Source organism: Homo sapiens, chromosome 13 (genome assembly GCF_000001405.40).
Source record: "Homo sapiens chromosome 13, GRCh38.p14 Primary Assembly".
NCBI classification, from domain to species: domain Eukaryota; kingdom Metazoa; phylum Chordata; class Mammalia; order Primates; family Hominidae; genus Homo; species Homo sapiens.
The window spans coordinates 110,125,776-110,148,259 of NC_000013.11; the positions used below are offsets into that span (position 1 = coordinate 110,125,776).

Here is a 22,484-nt window from a genome sequence, read left to right on the forward strand (position 1 = left end):
CACAGGGAGACAGGTAGACTCACAAGTGATCAGAATAAAAGCCAGTGCACACCCCAGATAACTGCAGCGGCCACGAGCCTTGTAAAGACCCATGTTTTACGGAGGCAGCCACCAGCTTGCAGAAGCTGAGCTTCCTGTGGCCCTGATTCTGCATTACTGAACTACTCATAGAACCACTGTTTCTGTCCTCAAAGCTTCTGTCTTGGTCCCATTGCCTGACTTTATAACAACCTTGAAATACCCACCAGGACTGGTGATCTCATTCAAGACACAGAGGTCCGTCTCAGGCACTGTGCTGGGGCCTGCCTGTGCCCAGCCTGCCTGTAGGACTTTGGAGTCCGCAATGTCGAAGTCCTTCTGCATTTACACCCTGTGGCCTGAACCCTGACATCATCTCACCCCCAGACCACCCAACCCATGACTCTTGGACACAAAAAGAAATATCTTCTCCATTAGAAACCAGCACCTGAACGCAGCCAGGGTCCCCGGTCACACCAGAAACTGTTGCTTTGACCAATCTCCACAGGGATTTTGACAATCAAGCATAGAAACCACCAAAAAAGTAAATACCGAGGTTGTATTTTCTTTTCTTTTTCCTTTTTCTTTCCTTTTTCCTTTTTCTTTCCTTTTCTTTTCTCACCAATGCATCCACTTGTTTGGACGAGCAGGTCATAAGGACAGGCAGGAGATGAGTCACATCTGACTTCACAAAAGTGCTTAAGCCTTTTCACAATCTCCATTTAAAGCCAGCCAAGCCTTTTAGAATTGCCCATCTCACAGGAATGTTTGTAACAAGGCTAGGAAGGAAGTGTGTGCTCAGGTCGGCCCGTCCCTGGCTCCCGGAGGCAGGCTCTCCGGTGCAGCGGCAGCTGCCAGCCCTGGGGTCGGGCTTCATATTTTCTCATGCCTTCAACAAGTCCTCCCTGGAGGAGGGGCAGTAAGCAGAAGGCAGTACAAGTGGCACATTCTCCTTCTAATGAGCACAGCACACTAACGTCTCTCGGAGGGGGCCCAGCTCTCCTCACGTTCCTCTGGGCCCAGGCTCCCTGCCAGCCTTTTCTCTTCCCCAGAGCATTCAATCGCTGTCAACAGAGCCAGACAAGAATAGAAGCCGCTCAGAGACTCTCTTTTGTTTTGCTGGGACACTTCAGCACATTCTCATGGATCCTTCAAAGGAAGGCAATTATCTGATCATTCTTGGGAGCAATTAAAATGTGGAAGGATACATCCTGCTTCAACCCGCCGAGTTTGTCTTTCCAAATCACATGGGCAATTGATTACACCATCAACAAACCCCATGTAACCCTCCAAGGAACGAGGTGCGTCCCTTGCAGTAGAAAACCGATAACCCAAGACATGAAGGTTCGAATGGATGATTGGCTTAGCTGGAATTGTGCTCCTCTGGAGGAGACTTTTTAAATGTATTCCTAGTTGCAAGTCCAGAAGCAAGGGAAGTGAGGCCCTCAGGGTTCTATCAGAGCCTGGGAAGGGGAGGAGAGCAGAGATGCTAAAGCAGTAGCAGAAGATCCACAGACCCCTGGAAGGACATGGAAGCTCGCTTTGAGCTGCTCCTTAGTTCATGGGGGTCTCTCCAGCATAAAGAGCTTCCTTCCTAAAATGGGAAGAGGGCTGTTTGCACAGAGAGAAGCGTAGCCTTAATACTGTACTTTGTCCATCCCTCCAGAAAGCCCAAGGGAGGGGGCAGATGGTTCATCTGCAAGTGATCCCAGGCCTAAAGCAAAGAGATGGATGGTCGGAGCCTCCGCGCGGTTTTTCCTGGCTACCTCCATACCACCATGTCACCTCTCTGTAAAGGCGATATAGGGAGCACCATCTGGGTGTTGTAGCTCATCTGGCTGTTGTAAGGAGTAAATGAGATGGGACGTGCCACACACATGATATGTGCCCGGCTCACAGGAGGCACCTTAGTAAGTGGTCACCATCAGATATACTAGTGAACCTGAGAGTGGCCCTTACCAACGTGGAAGGCTGGGGTGTTTGTAATCATCACTCAAGGCAAAGCAGAAAGAAATCTAGGCTATTTTTTAAGACTCATTGTGTTTGGTCACAGGCAAAAATAGAATCCATCCTCATGCAACCATCCTTTAAATAGTATTTCAACAGAGGGTTAAAGTGTTGGTTTGGGGTGTGAGAGTGATACCTTATTCATTCAGAAGTCCCTCAAAGAAGAGGATGGAGAAACAGACACGATTCCATGAAATGATCACTTTCCCCAGGCAATCACACCAAGGAAGGTCAAAGAACCTCCTCCCCGAAGGTTCACTGCTGGAGGTGGAGATCACAGCCAACTGACAATATAACTGCTGGCAGATATTTTTAGGTGGAAAGTCCCACCGTTTCCCGTACCTCACTGTGACCCTCATTACGGCATTAGGATGGGATTACCTTGCTCTCTTCTGAAATACTAGCTTATCCGTGGCACCAGCAACAAATACAAGCAGCTTGTCTGATGGAAAGGTCCTCTACTTAAGAACTAAACTTCCCCCAAATCACAAGCCCCTTTGCTGAAACAATGAAAAATTTAGGTAAGCTCTGGATTGAACTATTTCCCTCCCTTTGAAATAACTGGATGTTTAGTCATAACAAATAAGAATGATTCTGGTATCTTGTGGTCACGACATAGCATTTTTATGTTTTTTTTTTTTTATTTTTCACTTTACATCTCACTACATGGACATGCTACCTTCAATTCAACCCCAGGTTACATCAAAACCTCTTGACCTTTCATTTAAAGACAAATAAAAGGCAGCTGCTGGGCTGTGAAATTGTGAATAACAAACGGAACCATTATTTGAAAGGTTTCAAATTCTGATGAACAGAAAGATTATTTTGGAAAATCTATAGCGGAGAGTAGTATAATTATAACTTAGATTTGCGTGGTGCTCAATCCAAACTCATCTCCAAACTGAACGTGGTTTTCTAACAATAACATTCCTCCAAAAAAGGGGGCAGCCTACAAACCAACATAAGCGTAAGATGCACTTCCTGTCCAGCTAAAAATAAACCTGCAGACATTTGAAAGCAGCATAGAATCCTTTCTAACAATAAAAACAAACTCACCCATGTCGTTGGGCCAAGGCTTTGACATTTTAAAAATCATTATGGTGAAAAATAAACGCAACCTATAACGTGAGCTATTGTTAGAAATCCTTGAGAAAAATGCCTCAAATAGAGAACTCGAACGTCCACTCGCTAAAAATGAAACCGTTTTACTTGGGCATTGTCAAAGGTCGAATGGTTTTCTCCAAAAATGATGTTGAAGTCCTAACCCCCAGGACCTCAGAATGTCACCTTATTTGGAAATAAGGTCCTTGCAGATGTAATTAATTAGAACGAGGTCACATTGGAATGGGGTGGGCCCCGCATCCAATAAAACCACTGTCCTTATAAAAAAGAGGCACGCCACGTGAAGACCGAGACACACAAGAAGAACACGGGGTGTGGCTGAAGGCGGAGGTTGTGACGACGCATGTACAAGCCTGCAGGAGCATCCGCGAGCACCGCTGGCCCCACCGGAAACCGGGAAGAGGCAGGACAGCTTCTACCCCGAGCCTCAGAGACAGTCTGGCCTTGACATCACCTTGATCGTAGAATTCCAGCCTCCAGAATGGTGAGACACAAATTCCTGTTATTTTCAGCCAGGCAGTTTGTGGCACTTCGTTTCAGCAGCCTAGGAAGTGAATATATTCACTTCCATATACGTGAAATTGACATCAGTGAGGATTTGCTCTCTAGGCAGTAGATGTGAACCGGCCTTCAACGATTTTTTTTTTTCTGGCTGCATGTTGGGCGCTCCCAGCTTAGGGGGTGGGTGTGCAGGGAGTGGGGAGGGAGGCGCTTCTGCTTCTGTGGCTCTCCCATGGTCTCTTCCCACAACATCTTCTGCATCTCTGTGGATCCGGCTGCCCCCAGCGCAGCAGCCCGGGTGGGGTGGGAATGTCCAGCACTGCGTCGCTGCCAGCCCTCTGGGCGTTCCAAGTTCCTGGCAGGATCCGGATGCAGTGTGGTTGACCTTAACTACCCAGGAGAGGGTGAGCTCTCCTACAGAAGACTTGGACATCTTCTCTGCCTTCTCATTTCTGTGTCCACAAAAAATCAGCACAATGGACACTGGATCCTGCTCTCCCTTCCTTCTCTTTCCCACCAACGCACACTTTGGCAGTCCTGGCACCAGCATGGGATCCACCCCACGCACACCCACATGCACCCCACACTCACCTCCAGGGAAGAAGCACATCAGTGAGAGGAATGGCTCTGTCCTCAACTCAGTAGGAGCCAGCACCCACCCCTCCCCTCTGTTGCCACTTCAAAAGGTTTTCTTTGTTCGCTTGTTTCTACTTACCATTAATGTTCTTCAGGCTGGATAAGCTTTAAGGTGTGTCCCTTGACATATTAGATCTATTTTACTCTGCCATTTTATAATTAAACAGGGTCTGACTGAAGTTACCTTTGGCCCATGTATGTCTAATCCTACCAAGTCCTAGCCATGAAACAGGTGATATGTGTATAAATGAAAACAGTGGGTTAAGAGGATGCTTCCAGAAGTATTAAGGCACCCACGCACACACACAGACAAATACGCTCCACTGAAGATCATTTAGAACTGTGGGTACAGGGAAGCACTTAGAGAACTGTATTACAAGAAGATTCAGTGGAAAATCTACCACCAATCCTAATTCATTTCCCTACAGAACCTTAGTGTGCAGTTCGTAGCCCACCTTCAGCACCTGTATGGGATTGGGGCCACTGAGTATTCTGTGTACACATTCGTCATGGTCTTTTAAAATCACCCTCATTGTTGCTGGCTTCTGACTGCCTCTCAGCTGTGCATTAGTCAGGATGCTGCAGCGAACAGCTGACATTAAGGACCTTAGGATGAAGGGACATTTTACCAAGATAGGGGCAGAGTTTAGGAAAAGCAGTAATGTTTAGTCCACTAAACCAGGGGTCACCAGCCTCAGGGCTGCAGAGAGGGGGAAGAAGTCTTATCCATGGCCCTGGAGGGCAGCCCCATAGTGTTTTGTTTTGTTTTGTTTTGTTTTGTTTTGTTTTGTTTTGTTTGAGGTGGAGTTTCAGTCTTGTTGCCCAGGCTGGAGTGCAATGGCGTGATCTCGGCTCACAGCAACAACAAACGGCTTAGCTGGAATTGTGCTCCTCTGGAGGAGACTTTTTAAATGTATTCCTAGTTGCAAGTCCAGGAGCAAGGGAAGTGAGGCCCTCAGGGTTCTATCAGAGCCTGGGAAGGGGAGGAGAGCAGAGATGCTAAAAGAGTAGCAGAAGATCCGCAGACCCCTGGAAGGACATGGAAGCTCGCTTTGAGCTGCTCCTTGGTTCATGGGGGTCTCTCCAGCATAGACAACTCCCTTCCTAAAATGGGAAGAGGGCTGTTTGCACAGAGAGAAGCAGTAGCCTTAATACTGTACTTTGTCCATCCCTCCAGAAAGCCCAAGGGAGGGGGCAGATGGGAGGAGGCTCCACCTCCCGGGTTCAAGCGATTCTCCTGCTTCAGCCTCCCGAGTAGCTGGGATTACAGGCATGTGTCACCATACACGGCTAATTGTGTATTTTTAGTAGAGATGGGGTTTCTCCAGGTTGGTCAGGCTGGTCTCGAACTCCCGACCTCAGGTGATCCACCCACCTCGGCCTCCCAAAGTGCTGGGATTGCAGGCGTGAGCCACCATGCCCGGTGGGCAGCCCTATAGTTTGAGAAGGTGGTGACCAGAGCTGCAGCTTCCAGCAGAGAAACCCAACACCCCACAGCACCCTAACAGGAGACCCTGAGTAAACACCTCCTCTGTCCTCCTCCTGCTGCTGTTGCCCCCCATCCAGCCCCTGTTGGCCAGACGCCACCGGACCCAGGCACAACGGTGTCTGCTTCTGAGGTGCGGGCCGCCTCCCGGAGGGAACAGCAGGCGGAGAAGCTGATGCTGGGCTGCAGAGGATGCCTTTCTGAAAGCTCCAGTTATCAGTGGACAGAGACAGCAGCTAACCAATGCCTGTCAGGGAATCCCAGTCGGCATTTTCCTTTTCCTTTTGGAATTGAGCTTCTCAGGAAGAGTCTACAGTTCCCCACACTGAGTCTTATTCAGCAAACCACAGGACCCCAGGCAATCTCAAACGAATGCCTCTTTTTTTTTTTGAAATTCAACATTTTAATTGTGATATAACTTATGTAAAAACTTTCCAAAAAGTATCTAAGATATTCCACTGTACAACACATCAAAACTTTATCTGAGAAGCTGGAGACAATGAAGTATAAATAAGGCACACAGTTTACACTCATAATTGCATCCTAAACTGTTGTATAGTTCGTATTTACAACCCCCCATAACGTTTTTGCATCCTGGATTAGTCCTTCACATTTTGATATTTGGCATAATGTTCAAACACACTTTATACATCAAAAAGAGCAGCTGTGAGTGCATCCCCTGGCTCACGGGGCAGGCGGGAGCAAAAACCAGGACAGGGCAGGTAAAGGAGCCGCCCCTCCAGTCCTCGCTGGTAAGAGCCGCAGCAGAGAGCACTGAAGGCAGAGCACCTGATAGGAAGCGGGCTGTTAATTACACAAACAGGAGCAGAGGGGGGTGGGGCCTAGGGACCCCTCCCATGCCCACAGTCCTGCCAATTGCTCAGTGCCATCATTTATCGGGGGCCCCACAGGCAGTGCCGTCTTCATGGCTCCTCCTGGCCTCATTCACATCGCTGAGATGCCTCTCAAACACAGCTGTTCTCCACGGCCCACTCAGTGGATTTCACTGCTCTCATCTGTCAGTTTGCTTTTCAAAAGCTTATTCCTTTGTCCAGAGAAAAAAAGAGAAAATGAGTGTGTAGGCTCATCTCTAAGGAGAGTGGCAGAGATGCCACCTGCCAGTGCACAGGAGGCTGCAGGAAAAGAGGCAGAAACTCACAGGCCCCCAGGGAGCTCAGCTGGACAGGACTCAGAGCTCAGCAAAGGGTGGGGGCTCTCGGCTGGAGTCAGGATGCCTGGAGCCAGGGAGGCCAGGGCACAGGGGAAGAGGGCCTGCCCCTGGGGTGGGGCTGCCTGTTTCACACTGGTGAGAACGGCAGTATTGGTTGCTGATGATGACTCCTCACAACGCCCCCTTAGAAACCCTCGCATGCAACGGTTCCACATCATCCTGGCCCAGGAAGGAGAGAGCTGCATTTAAAAGGAGAAGGCAGGGCGAGGGAGGGAGACCCTATGGGCACTGCTTCATTTCTGCCTTTTCGTGAAGCTCATACACAGAATTGCTTTTTAGTTAAATGCTGGGGTTGTAGGACACACACCCTCACCTGTGATGGAAATTCTGCCAATATCGGGGAGAGCTGGTCTCTTCAACCTGTGCTGTGATGAATGGGGCTCTGCTTTTTCAACATTTCCCGGGAGCGCTCTGTTTCTTCTTCCTTGTAGTTTTAAAAGAACAGCTTCAATAACCTGGTAGTAAAGGAGAGGGGAGACCGGCGAAAAATCTAGCCCAGAAAAGAATGTTAAATACTGGGGGAAAAGCTCTTGGGAATTAGAATTTCATTTTATGTCTAGAAAGTCCAGTAAAATGTCAATAATATTGTGACAGGTTAGAATTATACGATCCTATTTCTCTCTTAGGAATATATGATCAATCTTTAACATTATGTTAAGGATATTATGGCAGATAAGGATATCACATAAGTATATTATGGCAAATAAAAAGAAAAACAGTATATTATTTCTGCGCCTATATTCGCATCCCTTTGCAATGTGACTTTGTGGCCCCTGTCCCCACCTCAAGAGGTAGAGTTCATGGTACCAAGCCCTGAATCTGGGCTTGGCCATGTGCTTTCCTTTGGCCAAGGAAGCATCAGCACATGTGACATCAGCAGAGGCTAAGTGCTTTTGCACTGAGGCCTCTCTCTTGCTGCTCTTGGGAACTCTGACTGTGTGGCACCACAGGAAGAGGCTGTGCTGCAGGGCGATGAGCAGGATATGCCTCCGGCCCCCCAGCCAATGCCAGATATAAGTGAAGCAATTGACCATCCACTGATAGGTGCTTGAATGAGCCAGCACCATAGAGAGCCATCCTGGGGGGCCCAGTTCAAATTACGTGTGCACATCTACGCAACAGTCAGCAGATAAAATGGTTTAAGTCATGTTTGGGTTGGCTTGTTGTTCAACCAAGGCTAATTGACACAGAGACTTATTCTCATGTCTGACTTCGTGATCAAGTCCAACACAAAGGTCAGATGCTTAACACAAAGTCAGGAAGGGTGCGTGAAGCCCCAGGAGCAGAACAGGGCCCTTCAGGTTCCCTGGATGGCCAGGGCGCAGGGACACTGGGGGATGTGTCACAAGTTGTAATTTTCATTTGGGAGATCTATTAGAATGGGTCTTACTTTGAAAATAAGTTTCAATATGATTGAAAAACCGGTTACTTGAATTGCCTAATTTTTTATTTATAATTCTTAAAATGTTCTTATACTTTTATAATAAAAGTATAACTCTTATACTTTCTTGTTAATTTTTTAAACTGATAAGAACAGATATTACCCTCGATCTTAGCCAAAAGCCTAAGAAGCGATGATTTTTAATTTTTTAAAAGTAATAAGTGTTTTTCATATAATTGTGTTCAATTAAACAGAACTATCCCATTTGGAAAGGACGGAGGGAAATAGAATACAAAAGTGGAAGAAGGAAATCTATCATTAAATAACTGAAGTAAAACAAAATAAAACACAAAGTATTAAAAAGTGGCCTGTGTTTGGTTTTTGCGTTTACCTTGTTCCTGCATAAATACCTTAAACACAGAGCAGCAAGTTGGAAATCTTAGTATCTTCAGACTTTCCTTAATGTAATTCATACAAAACAATTGGGAAAATTAAAAGGCCATGAAGGCGTTATTGTCCTTGTCTCACAAATATTAAGTTACAAAGCTGGACATTCAGAGGAGTCAACATTTCTAAGTCAGGGCTCAGCGTAGCGATAATTAAAATGGACCATTGCTGGGCTTACTGTGTTTGAATGATGCCACCCAAAGCCCCTGGAATACTACCTGATAAGGATGACTTCATCAACAGAACCTATTAGGATGCTAATAATGCCTGCTGGCCTATTTAGGAAGCTATTTTGTAGCGACGAAGGTTGGCTTCCCTGGGACATTGTGTCATATGAGCCATGGGGATCACATAGCAACGAGGACATGAGTTTCTTTCTATTTATAACCAGGTTGCTAGCAACGGCAACATGATGAGAATTGAACAATCACATCTGCTGGGAAACCACAGGGCTCATTTTGATCCTTCTTTAACCCACAGACCCTCGTGGAGTTGAGAAAGGACGTGGGGGAAGGACCCTGTGGGGGAGTCACACTGCCCAGGGGCCCACATTCAAACCCTTGCCACATTCCGTTCTAAGCGCATTACACAGGTCATCTAATTTATCCACAACCTACAAAGTTCTACAAGTGATGAAACTGAGTTCAGAGTAAGTAAATAATTGTCCATATTCATTTATAATTCAAACACAGGCAGTCCAGTTTCAAAGCCCATGCGTTTCTGTTAAATACACTGAAACAGACATCTGAGGGGGACGAAAGTGCTCACTTGCCTGCACTCAGGGCAAACTGCACTGTGCAAAGTGGTGGTTCCTATCCCTTAACACTAACTTGAACAGATCCCTGAGCTTTTGGATTCCTTTTAGGGACTAGGGACAGTCCAGTCCAGTCTAGATAAAAGCTATCCTCTTGTGCTACCCTCAGGCCCTGCCCATTCTTGTCGCAGTGACCCTCAGATTCAGCTCCATGGAGTCCAGCATCCATGAACTTGGATGGGGGATAAAGTACATGTTTACTCTCACCAACCTTCTGAAATGTAGCATTTCTTTCAATTATGACTAAAGGCCACAAACCACTATAGTATTAACAGTATCTGAGGCATTGTCACCAATAGAAAAAATAGGTATCATATTACAATAATTTCAGGTATTATGAAATATTATTTATACTCAGCAGTATTCTAAAATGTGTCTTCTAGACAGTATTATTTAATGTATCAATAAAGAAATATGTATATTACTATGTTGATAATTTTTTAAATATTTTGATAAGTGCATTTTAATATAGTTTTCTTTATAATACTACGTATTTTAGCACATGCCTTTTTAAAATAAACATTTTTTTCTAAAAAGATTTCCATAGGCTCTGTTGAATTGCCACAACATACAGAACAAACAAACAAACAAGAACTCTGGGCTGGAGGGACATGAAGCAGGCATAGCCTTTCTTTGCATCTTTCTCCTTCCTCCTCCTCCCATCCTACTCCTCCCGGCTGGGGACCAGGCAGGGGCAAGGGAGAAGGGACCAGCCTTTTACAGCTGAACTGTGGAAGTAAAGGCCCTCCCCACACTGCCCTGAGCCTTCTGTGGTCCCCAGGCATTCTCGGGGTGAGGGTGAGGGGGTCTGCAGATGAGTTTTCCCCAGGCCCTCCACCCTGGAGAGCCCTCAAACTTCTCTCTCCATTCTCGCTTCACACCCTGCCCCCCTGTGAACCCTGAATATCTGAGAAAGGTATCAGTCAATTTAGGAATTTTACTTTGCCAGAGTTAAGGATGCACGCCTGTGACACAGCCTCAGGAGCTCCTGATGGTGTGTGCCCAAGGTGGCTGGGGAGACATAAGACATCAATCAATACATGTAAGATGAATATTGGTTCCATCCAGAAAGGGAGGACAACTCGAAGCAGGGAGGGGGCTTCCAGGTCACAGGTAGGTGAGAGACAAATGGTCACACTCTTTTGAGTTTCTGATGAGCCTTTCCAAAATGGGAGGCAGGTTTGCCCTAAGCAGTTCCCAGCCTGACTTTTCCCATTAGCTTAGTGACTTGGGGGCCCCAAGATTAATTTTCCTTTCACACCCCAAAGCATACCTCATAGCTTTCCCCAGAGAAGACTCTTTGTGGAGAGAGCCAGGAGAGCTCAAGCCAAGCTCTCTCCCACAGGCCCCAGACAAAGCTCACAGCCCCGGGCCCCCACAAAGCTGTGGGTGTGCCTTGCTCCGCCAGCTCTGAACTGCCCCCTCAGATGGGTGTGGGGGGTGCGAGCAGAATCCAGCCAGGGCTAGAGACACCCGCAAAGTCTGAGATGTTCCTGTGGCCGTGGGGTGTGGAGACAGGGAACTTGGCAAGGAAGATGTCCCCTCCCAGAGGGGAAAGCACAGGACCCCTGCAGACTGGAGTCTCCTGCCTCCTCCCCCACTCTCTCCTCCTCTCTTCTTCCAGAGGGGTGCAGCCTGGAGAGAGCTGGGTTGGCTGACAGAGCTGGGCTCTTTCAGCAGGACAGGAACCCTGCCCCCAACTGCTGGCAGCTCTCTTCAGAATATGCGGCGCTGTGGCCTCTTTTGCTTTAGCTGGGGCTCTAATTAGGAATTTGGACAATGGGGAAAGTCCCAGCCAATGTGTCCTGTTACCCCAGCAAAGCTGAGAAAACCACCCTCACAGGACTCCCCTGCCGTATTGCTTCTGAGGGCAATTCCCCTCACCACGTTCGCAACTTCAGTTCCTTAACGTGTTCCAGGAGCACTCACCCTCCATGCAACAAGGTGAGGCTGCCAATCCTTCCTATACTAGATACATGTGTGGCAGTAGCTGTTAACAGTGACATGGGGGAAGGCACAGGGCGCTAGAGGTTGAATTTCTTTAAGTACCAAGGAGGGCTTCTTTCTTTAGGAAGAAACCGCCCAACGACAGTAAGGACGCATACAGTGCCACGGATGCTCATTTGTAATTCCTTAAAAATGTGAGTTCTCATTGTATTTTTACTGTTATAATTCATATTTGCAAACTCTGGTGAAAGGCTTCATTTAGTATATTTGGAATAATTCTCCATCCACTTTCTTTCCAACACAGTTAGTTACCCGTTTAAAAAAAAAAAAAAAATGCATTGACCTGGCCACAGATCCTAATTAGCACCTAGTAACCTGCTTCAGGTTAACCTTGTTAAACACTGAATTAAAAAGGGCAATGCTGCTATAAATTGCACCTAAGCCATTCTGCAGAGGTGGAACTTCACAATCAGGGGACCCTGGTGCCACCTGCAGTCTGTCCTGGGAACGCGTCACAGATAGCAAGCCGTCCACCCACGTACAAATACACACTGTTGCATGGAGTGTCTAGCGAAGACTGCTTCAAAACCAGTCTGCAGAATTTCCTCATTTACATCGGAAAAATGAATATCCCTTAAGGCGGAGCTCCGCCTAGGTACATTTGGTGCGGAACTTGCCCCAAGCAGCAAGTCGTGGGGAAATGTGAAACCAGCAAGAACTGCCCCCAGGGAAATTGAAGATAAAACACAAAACCGAATTTAAAAAGTCACCTGCTGCTCCATTTCAAACTGGAAGTCTAAAAAAGGCATTTCCTGACGCTGGCGAGTGACTCAGTGTCACCGTGACTCAGCCGCGCCCGGTTGCCCACGAGGCGGGAGGGGGAGGCAGATGCTGCGGGCGGCGCGGGGAGCCGAGCCCGCGCGCTGCTATTTCGGGCAAGTCTGCGGCGAGCAGGGCCCGCAGTCCACGCGCACTCAGGAAGTACAAATAGGGCGTGCATCAGAGGAAGCGCTCCCCACGCAGAGGCTGTGGGAAAGTGATTCAGCGCTGCTAGAATCCCCCTCTCCCGCGCCCTTCGCAGCGCAGCCAGGGAGGGAGGGAGCGCGCCAGAGCCTCCTGCAGGTGCGCGCGGGGCAGGCGGGCGGGCGGGCGGCGCGCGCGCCCAGGGGGCCCAGGTGACCGCCTTCCGCGCGCACACAGCCGGCCAGGGCGCACCCGGAAGCCCGTTACCCAAAGGCAAGGCTTGTTCCAGCCTAAAGCAAACTCATCCACACAACGTCGCTAGCGAGTTCCGTTTCCCTGTTTCTGGGAATTTGTGACTGTCAAAACAAACGTTCAGGTGACCATTGCCCTAAACCGCACTGACGAAAGGGCTAAGGACCAGGGAAGGAGCTGGTATGAAAGGCTGTGAGTTCACAGGGTGCCACGTGCAGGGTTGGAGAGACCCCAGCCCCATCAGATCTCCTCTCTCCAGAAGCACCCTCCCTCTCCATCCCTCCAGAGGCCGGGGCCATGTGTCCACCCATGTGGAGGTGTAAGGAGAGCCAGAGGGAGAGGTTCCCACGTGGACCCAATGGCGAAAAGTCTTGCAGTCAAAATCACTTAGAAACATTCTGCGCAGAGCTGGCTGAGTGTTGGGTGACCAGGTGATTGATGCTCAGGCGTTAAGGGAACAATGGGCTGTCCTCTGCATGCTTTCAGAGCTGGAGGGGCCTTGCCACCGGCAGAAGCAGAAAGATCATTTAAGCAGCACCCTGAACAATGAGTGTTTTCAGAAAGTTATCGAACAGGCTTGTGAAATATTTTTCTCTTGATGTCTTTAAAAGATATTTTCACTTCTCCCGCGTGATTCAGGGTGGTTTGGAAGTGGGAGAAGAAGGAGGCTTGAGATGTTGAAGTTCACTGCAAAGTCCCTCCTTCAGGACTCTAATTATTAAATATTTTCTCTATATATACCTTGTCTATCCAAATGATCATGAACCTGGGATGGAGGATAGGATTTATTACCTTGTCTCCTCCCAAGGGGTCCAGAGAAAGCCATGTGAAATGAGGGGATGATTAATAAACATTAGATTGACTGATGACCTCCACAGTATGTGAAATTGTCTTTTATCAAAGCAGCAGGGAGACATAGTAGAGTCAGACAGGTATAACTCAAATGATCAGAAGGATAAGGATCAGAAGCTTCTGAGAACACGACTTGAAAACATCTCTTAAATCTGGAATAACAAAGGTTAAAGAAGATATGAATTATGAAAAGAATGATCTTAACAAAACCTCAGATACTTAAAAATTACTCTAGGGGACACCTTTTAATATTGCAGAGAGATCATCTTAGGCCCAATAAAACTAAATGCTATTTTTGCATCATGGGAATTGAATATAGGGAATTTGTCATTCAGGTAGAAATGAAGTTGACCACAAAATTATCCTCAGAATGATTTAGACACACGTGTAAAGGAGAATGCAGAAACAATCCACATTGGTATAAAGTCTCCTGAGGCAGGGGCTATGCCGTGACATTGCATCCCTGGACCTCACTCGGGGCCTGGATGAAGGAAGAGATGCCGTGTGCACTTCGTCTTGCATATTTCTCATTTAATCTTCCAGGCAACACTCAGATGTGGGCAACCTTTATTCCATTTGTAATCCAACCCTCAACCTCACCCTATCTATTGCATAACTCCTTTTTAATTCCTTAACCTGACAAATTACAGGTTTCTTCCACAATTATTATTTTTTTTTTTTTGCACAACACTTCTTAAGGACGACATTATCGATTTCCATTTATCCTGTACCTAACCTAGTACTTGGGAAATAATAAGCACGCAGAATATGAATGATGAAGAGATGGATCAGTGGATGGATGGATGGATGAACAGATGGATGAATAGATGGATGGATGAACAGATGAATGTATGTATGGATGGATGGATGGTGGATGGATGATGGATGGATGGATGGATGGATGAGTAGATGGAAGGAACAGATGGAAGGAAGCAGAGAATGAGTAAAAGGATGATAAGTGATACAGCCAAACAGGTTTTCTCTTTTTTTGTAAATCCTTCTCAGTCTATGATTCTGATTTGGAAGAATTACAAGTAAAAATGACCTAATTTGTGCAGATCTCTGAGAGGTTTTATATCTTACCCAAGGTCACAAGTTTGTAAGTGGCAGAGTCAGCATCTGAACTCAGATTTGTCTAGTTTCATGAGGACGACAAAATGACTCTTGGGTTCAGATACAGGATGGGTGCACTGAGTCTTAGGCTTTAAGAATTCTGGTGTAAAAGCGATGGTACCCCTAATGAGTACAAGCTAATGCATGTAATTTAAAGTCCAGTAAGCTAGAGTGAAAAAGTGCATGGAAAGAGCCAGCATACAGCCATTAAAATCGAAAAGCCCATGAATGATGGTTAACTAAATTGGTAGACTATGGTATGTTCAAGCTTTAGAAAAGAGAGTGAAAAGATTTTTTAAATGACCAAAGTTGAACCGTTTCATTCTCTTCCATTTATCACCATCATACTTAAAACCATCAAAACAAGTACTCTGTATTGTGGCTGGTGCCAGTCCCAGGTAAAGTTTAGCAGGCCACCCCAGCCTGTCTCTCCTGCTGAGTGCATGGAGCAGCTATTAGAGGACTCTGTCAGTGAACGGTAGCAGACAGACTGGGGAAGAAAACCAGATTTAGATGTGCCACCAAAGCAGGACAATTTTACCATATTTTTTCTCCAGTTCTCCTGCTGTTTAGCCCAGATATGGCTGCAGCCACAGAAATTATGTGCAGAGTAAGTAAAGACACAATTTTAGAAACAAGGAGTCAACAAGAGGAATGTTAGGCTCTGAAAAGTAATGGGGAGTTCAGTGGGACGGTGGAATGAGGGAAGGAGATCCAGTAAAATTGTTCATGGACTCCTGGACTCATCTTTGATGTGCGCGTGCATGGATCTGACTCTAAACAGCTACCAAACTGAAAACTGCCCACACTGCCCACACCCAGACAGGCCGTTGGTGGGCACGCATGCAGGACAGATCTGAATAGTACCGCAAAAACAGTTCTACCTATAGAAGGTGAATTGAAGCTTGCAGCCTGGAACCTGACCCAGTCATTGGCCTGCAAAGACCCCCAAACACCAACATTTTTCCATAAGAGAAAGGCATACATCTACAGACTCACAAAGCTAAAGAACCCAATCCACACACAGACATGTCATAATTAGATGTCGGAAAATTAGACAGAATGAGAAATCCTAAAAGTAGCCAGAGACAGCACATTACTTAGAGGGGAACACCGATTTGAATGATTCAGGGTTTATTATCAGACACTAAATAGAGGCCAGAAGGAAAGAAAGTAAACAACAGATTTAAATTGTTGAAGGCGAAGAACTATTAGAATTCTATGTCCAGTGGAAAAAAATACCCAGTACAGGTGAAATAAAGACATTTTTCAAATGAAGAAAAAAATACCCAGAACAGGTGAAATAAAGACATTTTTCAAGTGAAGAAAAACTAAAAGAGTATACATTTCTCTAAAAGAATTGTTAAGGGAAGTTATTTAAACATAAGAAAAATGATATTAAAAGATACTTTGAAATATCAAGAATAAAGAAAGTAAAATATAAATTGGAAATAGCTGGGTAAATATGAAACACTTTTCTTCTCTTGGGTTTTAAAAATATATCAATGTAGGAAACAACACAAGTAAGCTAAAATAGCAAACTAGAAAATGTGTAAATAACAAAAAAGGCAGAAAAAGAGAAAATCAACAGTAGCATATAGAAAATCAATAATAAAAAGCTAGACTTAAATCCAAACATACCAATAATTGCTTTAAACACAAGCCCAGTCTAAACACACTAATTAAAATACAAAGATGCCAGAACAGATTTGAAAAATATGACCCAACTATATGCTGTCAGAAAGAACCTTGCTTCAAATATAAGAATATGGATAGGATACAAATAACAAAATAGAGAAGACTTATCAAGCAAATGCCAATCAAAAGAAAGATGGAGTGGCTATATTAATATCAGACAAAGTAGATTTGGAGCAAAAACTAATTCCCAGACATAAAAAGGCAGGTAGTATAATGGTAAAAGAGTTGACTCACCAAGAAGTCAGAACAATACTAACGGTGTGCACCCCTAATAATGGAACTTAAAAATAGAAAAAGCAAACTGTTCCAATTGAAAGAAGAAATTTAGAAATCCATAAAACACACTGGAAACTTCAACATTCATCTCTCGATAAATGACAGAACTATAGACAGAAAATCACAGGGATATAAAAGAACTGAACAATACCATCAACCAAGTGGATCATAAACTACATTTATATAACAATCTATCCAACACTAATAGAATACATATTCTTTTCAATTGTACATGGAACACTCACCAAGAAAGAATAAAAGAAACTTTAACAAATGCACAATTATTGAAAGCATATGTAGTATGTGCTGTGTTCATAATGAAATTAAACCAGATATCAAAAACAGAAATATAACAGAAAAATCTACAAACATTTGGAAACTAAGCTACATACTTCCAAATAAGCCATGGATCATAGGAAGTATCAAAGAAATTAAAACTTATGTTGAATTGAATGTAAATGAAAATACAACATAACACAATTCATGGGATGCAGGTAAATCAGTGCTTAGAGGGAAATATATAGCATCAAATGCTTATGCTTAAAAAGAAAAAAGTCTCAAATTAATCATGTATGCTTACACCTTAAGAAACTAGAAAAAGAAGAGCAAAATAAACACAAAATAAGAACATGAAAGGAAATAATAAAGATAAGAGAAAAAATTGATGAAATTGAAGGCAGAAAAAATAGAAAAAAATCAATAAATCCAAAAGCTGGTTCTCTGAAAAGATCAATAATATTGACAAACTTCTAAAGAATTTGACAAAGAAAAAGATGGAAGATGAAAATGTTCAATATCAGGAAAGAAATAATAAATGCTGCTACAGGCTTCACAGACATGGAGATAATAGAATACTAGGAATAACTCTACACACACAAATTTGACAACTTACTATGAACTAATCCTTGAAAGAAAAAGTTATCTAACTCATCCAAGATGAAATAGATATCCTGAATAGTCCTATAACTATTTGTAACTTAAATTTATAGTTCAAAACCTACCAAGAAAGGAAATTTGCAGGACCAAACGGTTTTATTGACAAATTCTATTAAATATCTAAAAAACAAAACAAACAAACAAAAAAACAACTCTACATAATGTCTTCCAGAAAACAGAAGAGATGGGAACATTTCCTGGCTCATTTTTCTTTTTTTTTGCAAATGGCATTATTTGATAGAAAAGCCAAAGGTAATATAAGAAAATAAAGTTAAAAGCAATTTTCCTCACTAACACAGACACAAGGAACTCTAGTAAGTACTAGCAAATCAAATGCTCAATATATAAAAAGAATAACATATCATGACCAAGTGGGCTTTATCCCAGAAATATAAAACTGGTCTGATCTTTGATTATCAATCACTATTATCCACTGTTTCAACAAGCTGAAGAAGAAAGGCCATATAATCATATCATAGGGGATTGCATATGGGATTGCCGTTGATGCAGAAAAGGCATTCAACAACATTTGATATCCACTCATGATACTTACAGGGATAAAGGTATCTGGTTTTTTTTTTAAACCCTATAGTTAACATCATATTTAATGATGAAAGACTAAATGCTTTTTTCTTCAGATCAAGCACAAGGGAAGAATGCCCATATTCACCACTCCTATTTAACATTGTACTTAAAATTCTGGAGAGTACAAAGAGGCAAGAAAAAGAAAAAGAGGTGTGTGTGTAGGAGGGCTGAAATAAGAAAAGGAAGAAATAGACAGAGGAAAACATAGGAGTAAATATTCATGACCTTGGATCTGGCAATGGATTCTTAGATATGACACTAAAGGCATGAGCAACATATGAAAAATAGATAAATTGTACTTCATCAACATTAAAAACCTTTGTGCACTAACGTACATTATTAAAAAAGTAAAAAGACAATCTTCATAATAGAAAATATATTTGCAAATCATATATCTGATAAGGGTCTACTATTCAGAATATATGAGGAATGTTTACAAGTAAACAACAAAAAGACGGGTCAGGCACGGTGGTGCACAACTGTAATCCCAATAGTTTGGGAGGCCCAGGCAGGAGGATCGCTTAAGCCCAGGAGTTTGAGACCATTCCTGGCAGCATAGTGAGACCCCATCTCTAAAAAAAATTAGAGAAATTAGCTGAGTGTGGTGGCGCATCCCTACAGTCCTAGCTATTCAGGAGGTTGAGGTGGGAGGATCACTGGAACCTGGGAGGTTGAGGCTGCAGTGAGCCATGATTGTGCCATTGCACTCCAGCCTGGGTGAAAGAGTGAGAACCTGTCTCAAAAGTAAATAAATAACAAAAAGACAAACAACCTAATTTAAAATGGAAAAGAAATTGAGTAAACATTTCAAATGTCTACTCAATATATAAATGGCCAAGAAGCACATTGAAAAGATGCACAGCATCATGAACAATTAGGAAAATGCAAACCAAACCGTGACCCCTTCATACCCACTAAGATGGTTATAATCAAAAATTGGAAAATCGTAAGTGTGGACAAGGACATAGAGGAATTGGAGCCCACAGCACTGTTGGTGGGAGTGTAAAACAGTTCAGCCTCTGTGGAAAAGAGTTTGGCAGTTCCTCAAAAAGTTAAACACAGACTCAGCAATTCCATTCCTAGGTGGATACCCTAAAGAATTGAGGTGGGTGGATCACGAGGTCAGGAGATCGAGACCATCCTGGCTAACATGGTGAAACCCCGTCTCTACTAAAAATACGAAAAATTAGCCGGGCATGGTGGCGGGCACCTGTAGTCCCAGCTACTTGGGAGGCTGAGGCAGGAGAATGGCCTGAACCCAGAAGGCAGAGCTTGCAGTGAGCTGAGATCACACCACTCACTGCACTCCAGCCTGGGCAACACAGCAAGACTGTTTCTCAAAAAAAAAAAAAAAAAAAAAAAAAAAGAAAGAAAGAAAAAGAAAAAGAAAAGAAAACAGGAGCTCAAACAAATGCATGTGCACAGCAACACTATTCACAGTAGCCAAACATCAAGATAGTCCACATGTTCATGAATGGGTGAGTCGATACAGAAAATGTAGCATATTTACATGACGGAAGTTATACAGCCATAAAAGTGATCGAAGTACTGGCATGCCACAATGTGGATAACCTTGAGAAGGTCATGCTAAGTGAAAGAAAGCACACACGAAAGTCATGCACTGTATGAAATATCCAAAGTAGGCAAATGTATAGAGGCAGAAAGCAGACAGGTGTTTATCAGGGACGGAGGGGTAGGGAGGGAATGGGGTGTGACTTCTGAATGGGCATGGGGCTTTGGTGTGATAGAACTAGTTTTGGAACTAGACACAAGTGGTTTAGTACTAGATACAAGTGGTTTAGTACTAGATACAAGTGGTTTAGTACTAGATACAAGTGGTTTAGTACTAGATGCAGGTGGTTTAGTACTAGATGGAGGTGGTTTAGTATGAGATGCAACTGATTTAGAACTGAATGCGGATGGTTTAGAACTAGATGCAGGTGGTTTAATACTAGATGCAGCTGGTTTAGAACTAGATGAAGGTAGTTTAGAAGTAGGTGCAGGTGGTTTAGAAGTAGGTGCAGCTGATTTAGAACTAGATGCAGGTGGTTTAGAAGTAGGTGCAGCTGATTTAGAACTACATGCAGACGGTTTAGTACTAGATGCATCTGATTTAGAACTAGATGCAGGTGGTTTAGAGCTAGATGCAGCTGGTTTACAACTAGATGTAGGTGGTTTAGTGCTAGATTCAGGTGGTTTAGTGCTAGATGAAGCTGGTTTAGTACTAGAAGCAGGTGGCTTAGAACTAGACGCAGGCGGTGGCACAGCATTGTGAATGTACTACATGCCACTGAATTGTTCACCTTAACATGGTGAATTTTACGTTATGTGAATTTCATCAATTAAAAAATGATTACAAATCGAAATGTAGTAAGTAAAACCATAAAACTTTGAGAAGAAAATGCAAGAGAAAATATTCGTGAGCGAGGGTATATCAACAGGTTCTTAACCATAATAGCAAAAGCATGTCCAATGGAAGAAAACAAAAATTGATAAATTGGATATCATCAAAATTAAAAAGTTTAGCTCTATTCATGGACATAAACATGGGAACAATCAACACTGCAGAATACTAGAGCGGGGAGGGAGGACGGGGCCTGGGTTGAAAAGCTACCTACTGGGTACCACGCTCGCCACCTGGTACTATACACCTGCATAACAATCCTGCATATACACCACTGTATCTAAAATAAAAGCTGAAATTTTAAAAAGCAAAAAAGTTTAGCTCTGTGAAAGACATCATTAAGTGGATGAATTTGCAAATCACTTATCCAAAAATGGACTTGTAACCAGAATATGCGAAAAACTTTCAGAATGCAGCAGTATGAAAACGAGCAACCCAACTGAAAACCTGAGCAAAGGGGCTGGATACGATGGCTCACGCCTGTAATCCCAGCACTTTGGGAGGCCGAGGTGGGCAGATCACCTGAGTCTAGGAGTTTGAGGCCAGCCTAGACAACATGGTGAAACCCAGTCTTTACAAAAATACAAAAAAAATTAGCTGGGTGAGTGGCACACACCTGCAGTCCCAGCTACTCAGAAGGCTGAGGTGGGAGGACCACTTGAGCCCAGGAGGTGGAGGTTAACAGCCAGCCGAGATTAGGCCACTGCAGTCCAGCCTGGGCAACAGAGTAAGACCCCATCTAAAAATAAAATAAAATAAAATAAAGGTTTTAAAAAGACTGAGCAAAGGCTTAACAAACACTTTAAAAAAAGGATATACAAGATATACAGGCAGCCAAAAACTGTTCAACATCATTAACCATTAGAGAAATGCAAATTAACCATAGTTAATGCCACTACATACTTGTGAGAAGACCACGCACACACAGAACAATTGCTGGCAAAGTCAAATACTGGAGGGGATGTGGAGCCACTGGGGCTCCCATTGGTTGCTGGTGGAAGGCAGCATGGTGCAGCCATCCTGGAAGATGGTTTGGCAGCTCCTTAGAACATTAAACACACACTTCCCCTATGGCACAGCTGTCTTAGTACTGGGCATTTATCCTAAAGTAATGAAGTAATGAAGACTTACATTCACATGCAAACCTGAATGTGAATGTTTATTCCTATTTATAACCACCAAAACCCAGAAACAACCAAATATCCTTCAACAGGTGAATAGATAAGTGAAGGGTGGTATGTCTATAAAATGCCATCCCGCTCAGCAATAAAAAGGAACGAACTATTGATACACATAACGACTTGGAGGAATGTCAAATACATTATGCTGAGTGAAAGAAGACAGTTTCAAGTCTATTATTCCATTCCTGAATAGATGATCTATGATGGGGGAGAGTTCCATGGTTGAAGACCAGGTTAGGGTGCCTGGGCGTGTTATACATAGTACAGGTTTGAAGGTTTTTAGGTGATGAAACTGTTCTGCGTGCTGATTTGGTTATGGGTATGTGAACCTATTTATAAGTTCACAATTCATAGAAATGTACATCCAAATAAGTCAGTTTTACTGTAAGTTAATTTAAAAAACATAAAAACTGCTTTCAGAATAACTGGTATAAGATGCATGGGATTTGAATGTTGGGATCCACAGTGTTATATTATCTTCTTTGTACTTTCCTAGGGATACTAAATTGTATATAATAAACATGATAAATGAACTTTATACATATATATGTATATATGTGTACAAAATTTTGTACACAAAATATATGTACATGTACGAAATGCTCTGAAGTGGCTCTTAATACCTCTCAGTAAC

The 22,484-nt window shown here is 43.7% G+C and overlaps 2 long non-coding RNA genes and 1 pseudogene across 3 annotated transcripts in view, besides 5 other annotated features; all 3 read right to left on the bottom strand.

Moving 5' to 3' along the window:
- Positions 1-3,361, bottom strand: part of LINC03082 (long intergenic non-protein coding RNA 3082) — a 145,761-nt gene extending 142,400 nt beyond the window's left edge. For both annotated transcript variants that reach the window (NR_187461.1, NR_187462.1), the window contains exon 1: positions 3,082-3,361. This is a non-coding gene — a long non-coding RNA (long intergenic non-protein coding RNA 3082). The remainder of the gene's footprint in view (positions 1-3,081) is intronic.
- Positions 323-1,131: an enhancer, noted in NCBI's record as "NANOG-H3K27ac-H3K4me1 hESC enhancer chr13:110778445-110779253 (GRCh37/hg19 assembly coordinates)". NCBI's record gives its function as "activates a minimal SCP1, AML or CMV promoter by ChIP-STARR-seq in naive H9 embryonic stem cells {active_cell/tissue: H9 hESC(naive)}" and the evidence as "EXISTENCE:reporter gene assay evidence [ECO:0000049][PMID:30033119]".
- Positions 1,132-1,939: an enhancer, noted in NCBI's record as "NANOG-H3K27ac-H3K4me1 hESC enhancer chr13:110779254-110780061 (GRCh37/hg19 assembly coordinates)". NCBI's record gives its function as "activates a minimal SCP1, AML or CMV promoter by ChIP-STARR-seq in naive H9 embryonic stem cells {active_cell/tissue: H9 hESC(naive)}" and the evidence as "EXISTENCE:reporter gene assay evidence [ECO:0000049][PMID:30033119]".
- A 2,825-nt stretch (positions 3,362-6,186) lies between the features above and the next one.
- Positions 6,187-12,839, bottom strand: LOC101927712 (uncharacterized). Its single transcript, XR_931726.3, has 3 exons — positions 12,361-12,839; positions 7,315-7,425; positions 6,187-6,815 (listed from the first exon to the last, which is right to left on the bottom strand). It is a non-coding gene; the product is annotated as an uncharacterized LOC101927712 (long non-coding RNA).
- LOC124903272 (uncharacterized) lies at positions 8,464-8,577 on the bottom strand (annotated as a pseudogene).
- Positions 10,576-11,190: an enhancer, noted in NCBI's record as "H3K27ac-H3K4me1 hESC enhancer chr13:110788698-110789312 (GRCh37/hg19 assembly coordinates)". NCBI's record gives its function as "activates a minimal SCP1, AML or CMV promoter by ChIP-STARR-seq in naive H9 embryonic stem cells {active_cell/tissue: H9 hESC(naive)}" and the evidence as "EXISTENCE:reporter gene assay evidence [ECO:0000049][PMID:30033119]".
- Positions 11,191-11,805: an enhancer, noted in NCBI's record as "H3K27ac-H3K4me1 hESC enhancer chr13:110789313-110789927 (GRCh37/hg19 assembly coordinates)". NCBI's record gives its function as "activates a minimal SCP1, AML or CMV promoter by ChIP-STARR-seq in naive H9 embryonic stem cells {active_cell/tissue: H9 hESC(naive)}" and the evidence as "EXISTENCE:reporter gene assay evidence [ECO:0000049][PMID:30033119]".
- Positions 12,734-12,813: a silencer, noted in NCBI's record as "silent region_5500". NCBI's record gives its function as "represses an Ori minimal core promoter by ATAC-STARR-seq in GM12878 lymphoblastoid cells {active_cell/tissue: GM12878}" and the evidence as "EXISTENCE:reporter gene assay evidence [ECO:0000049][PMID:35858748]".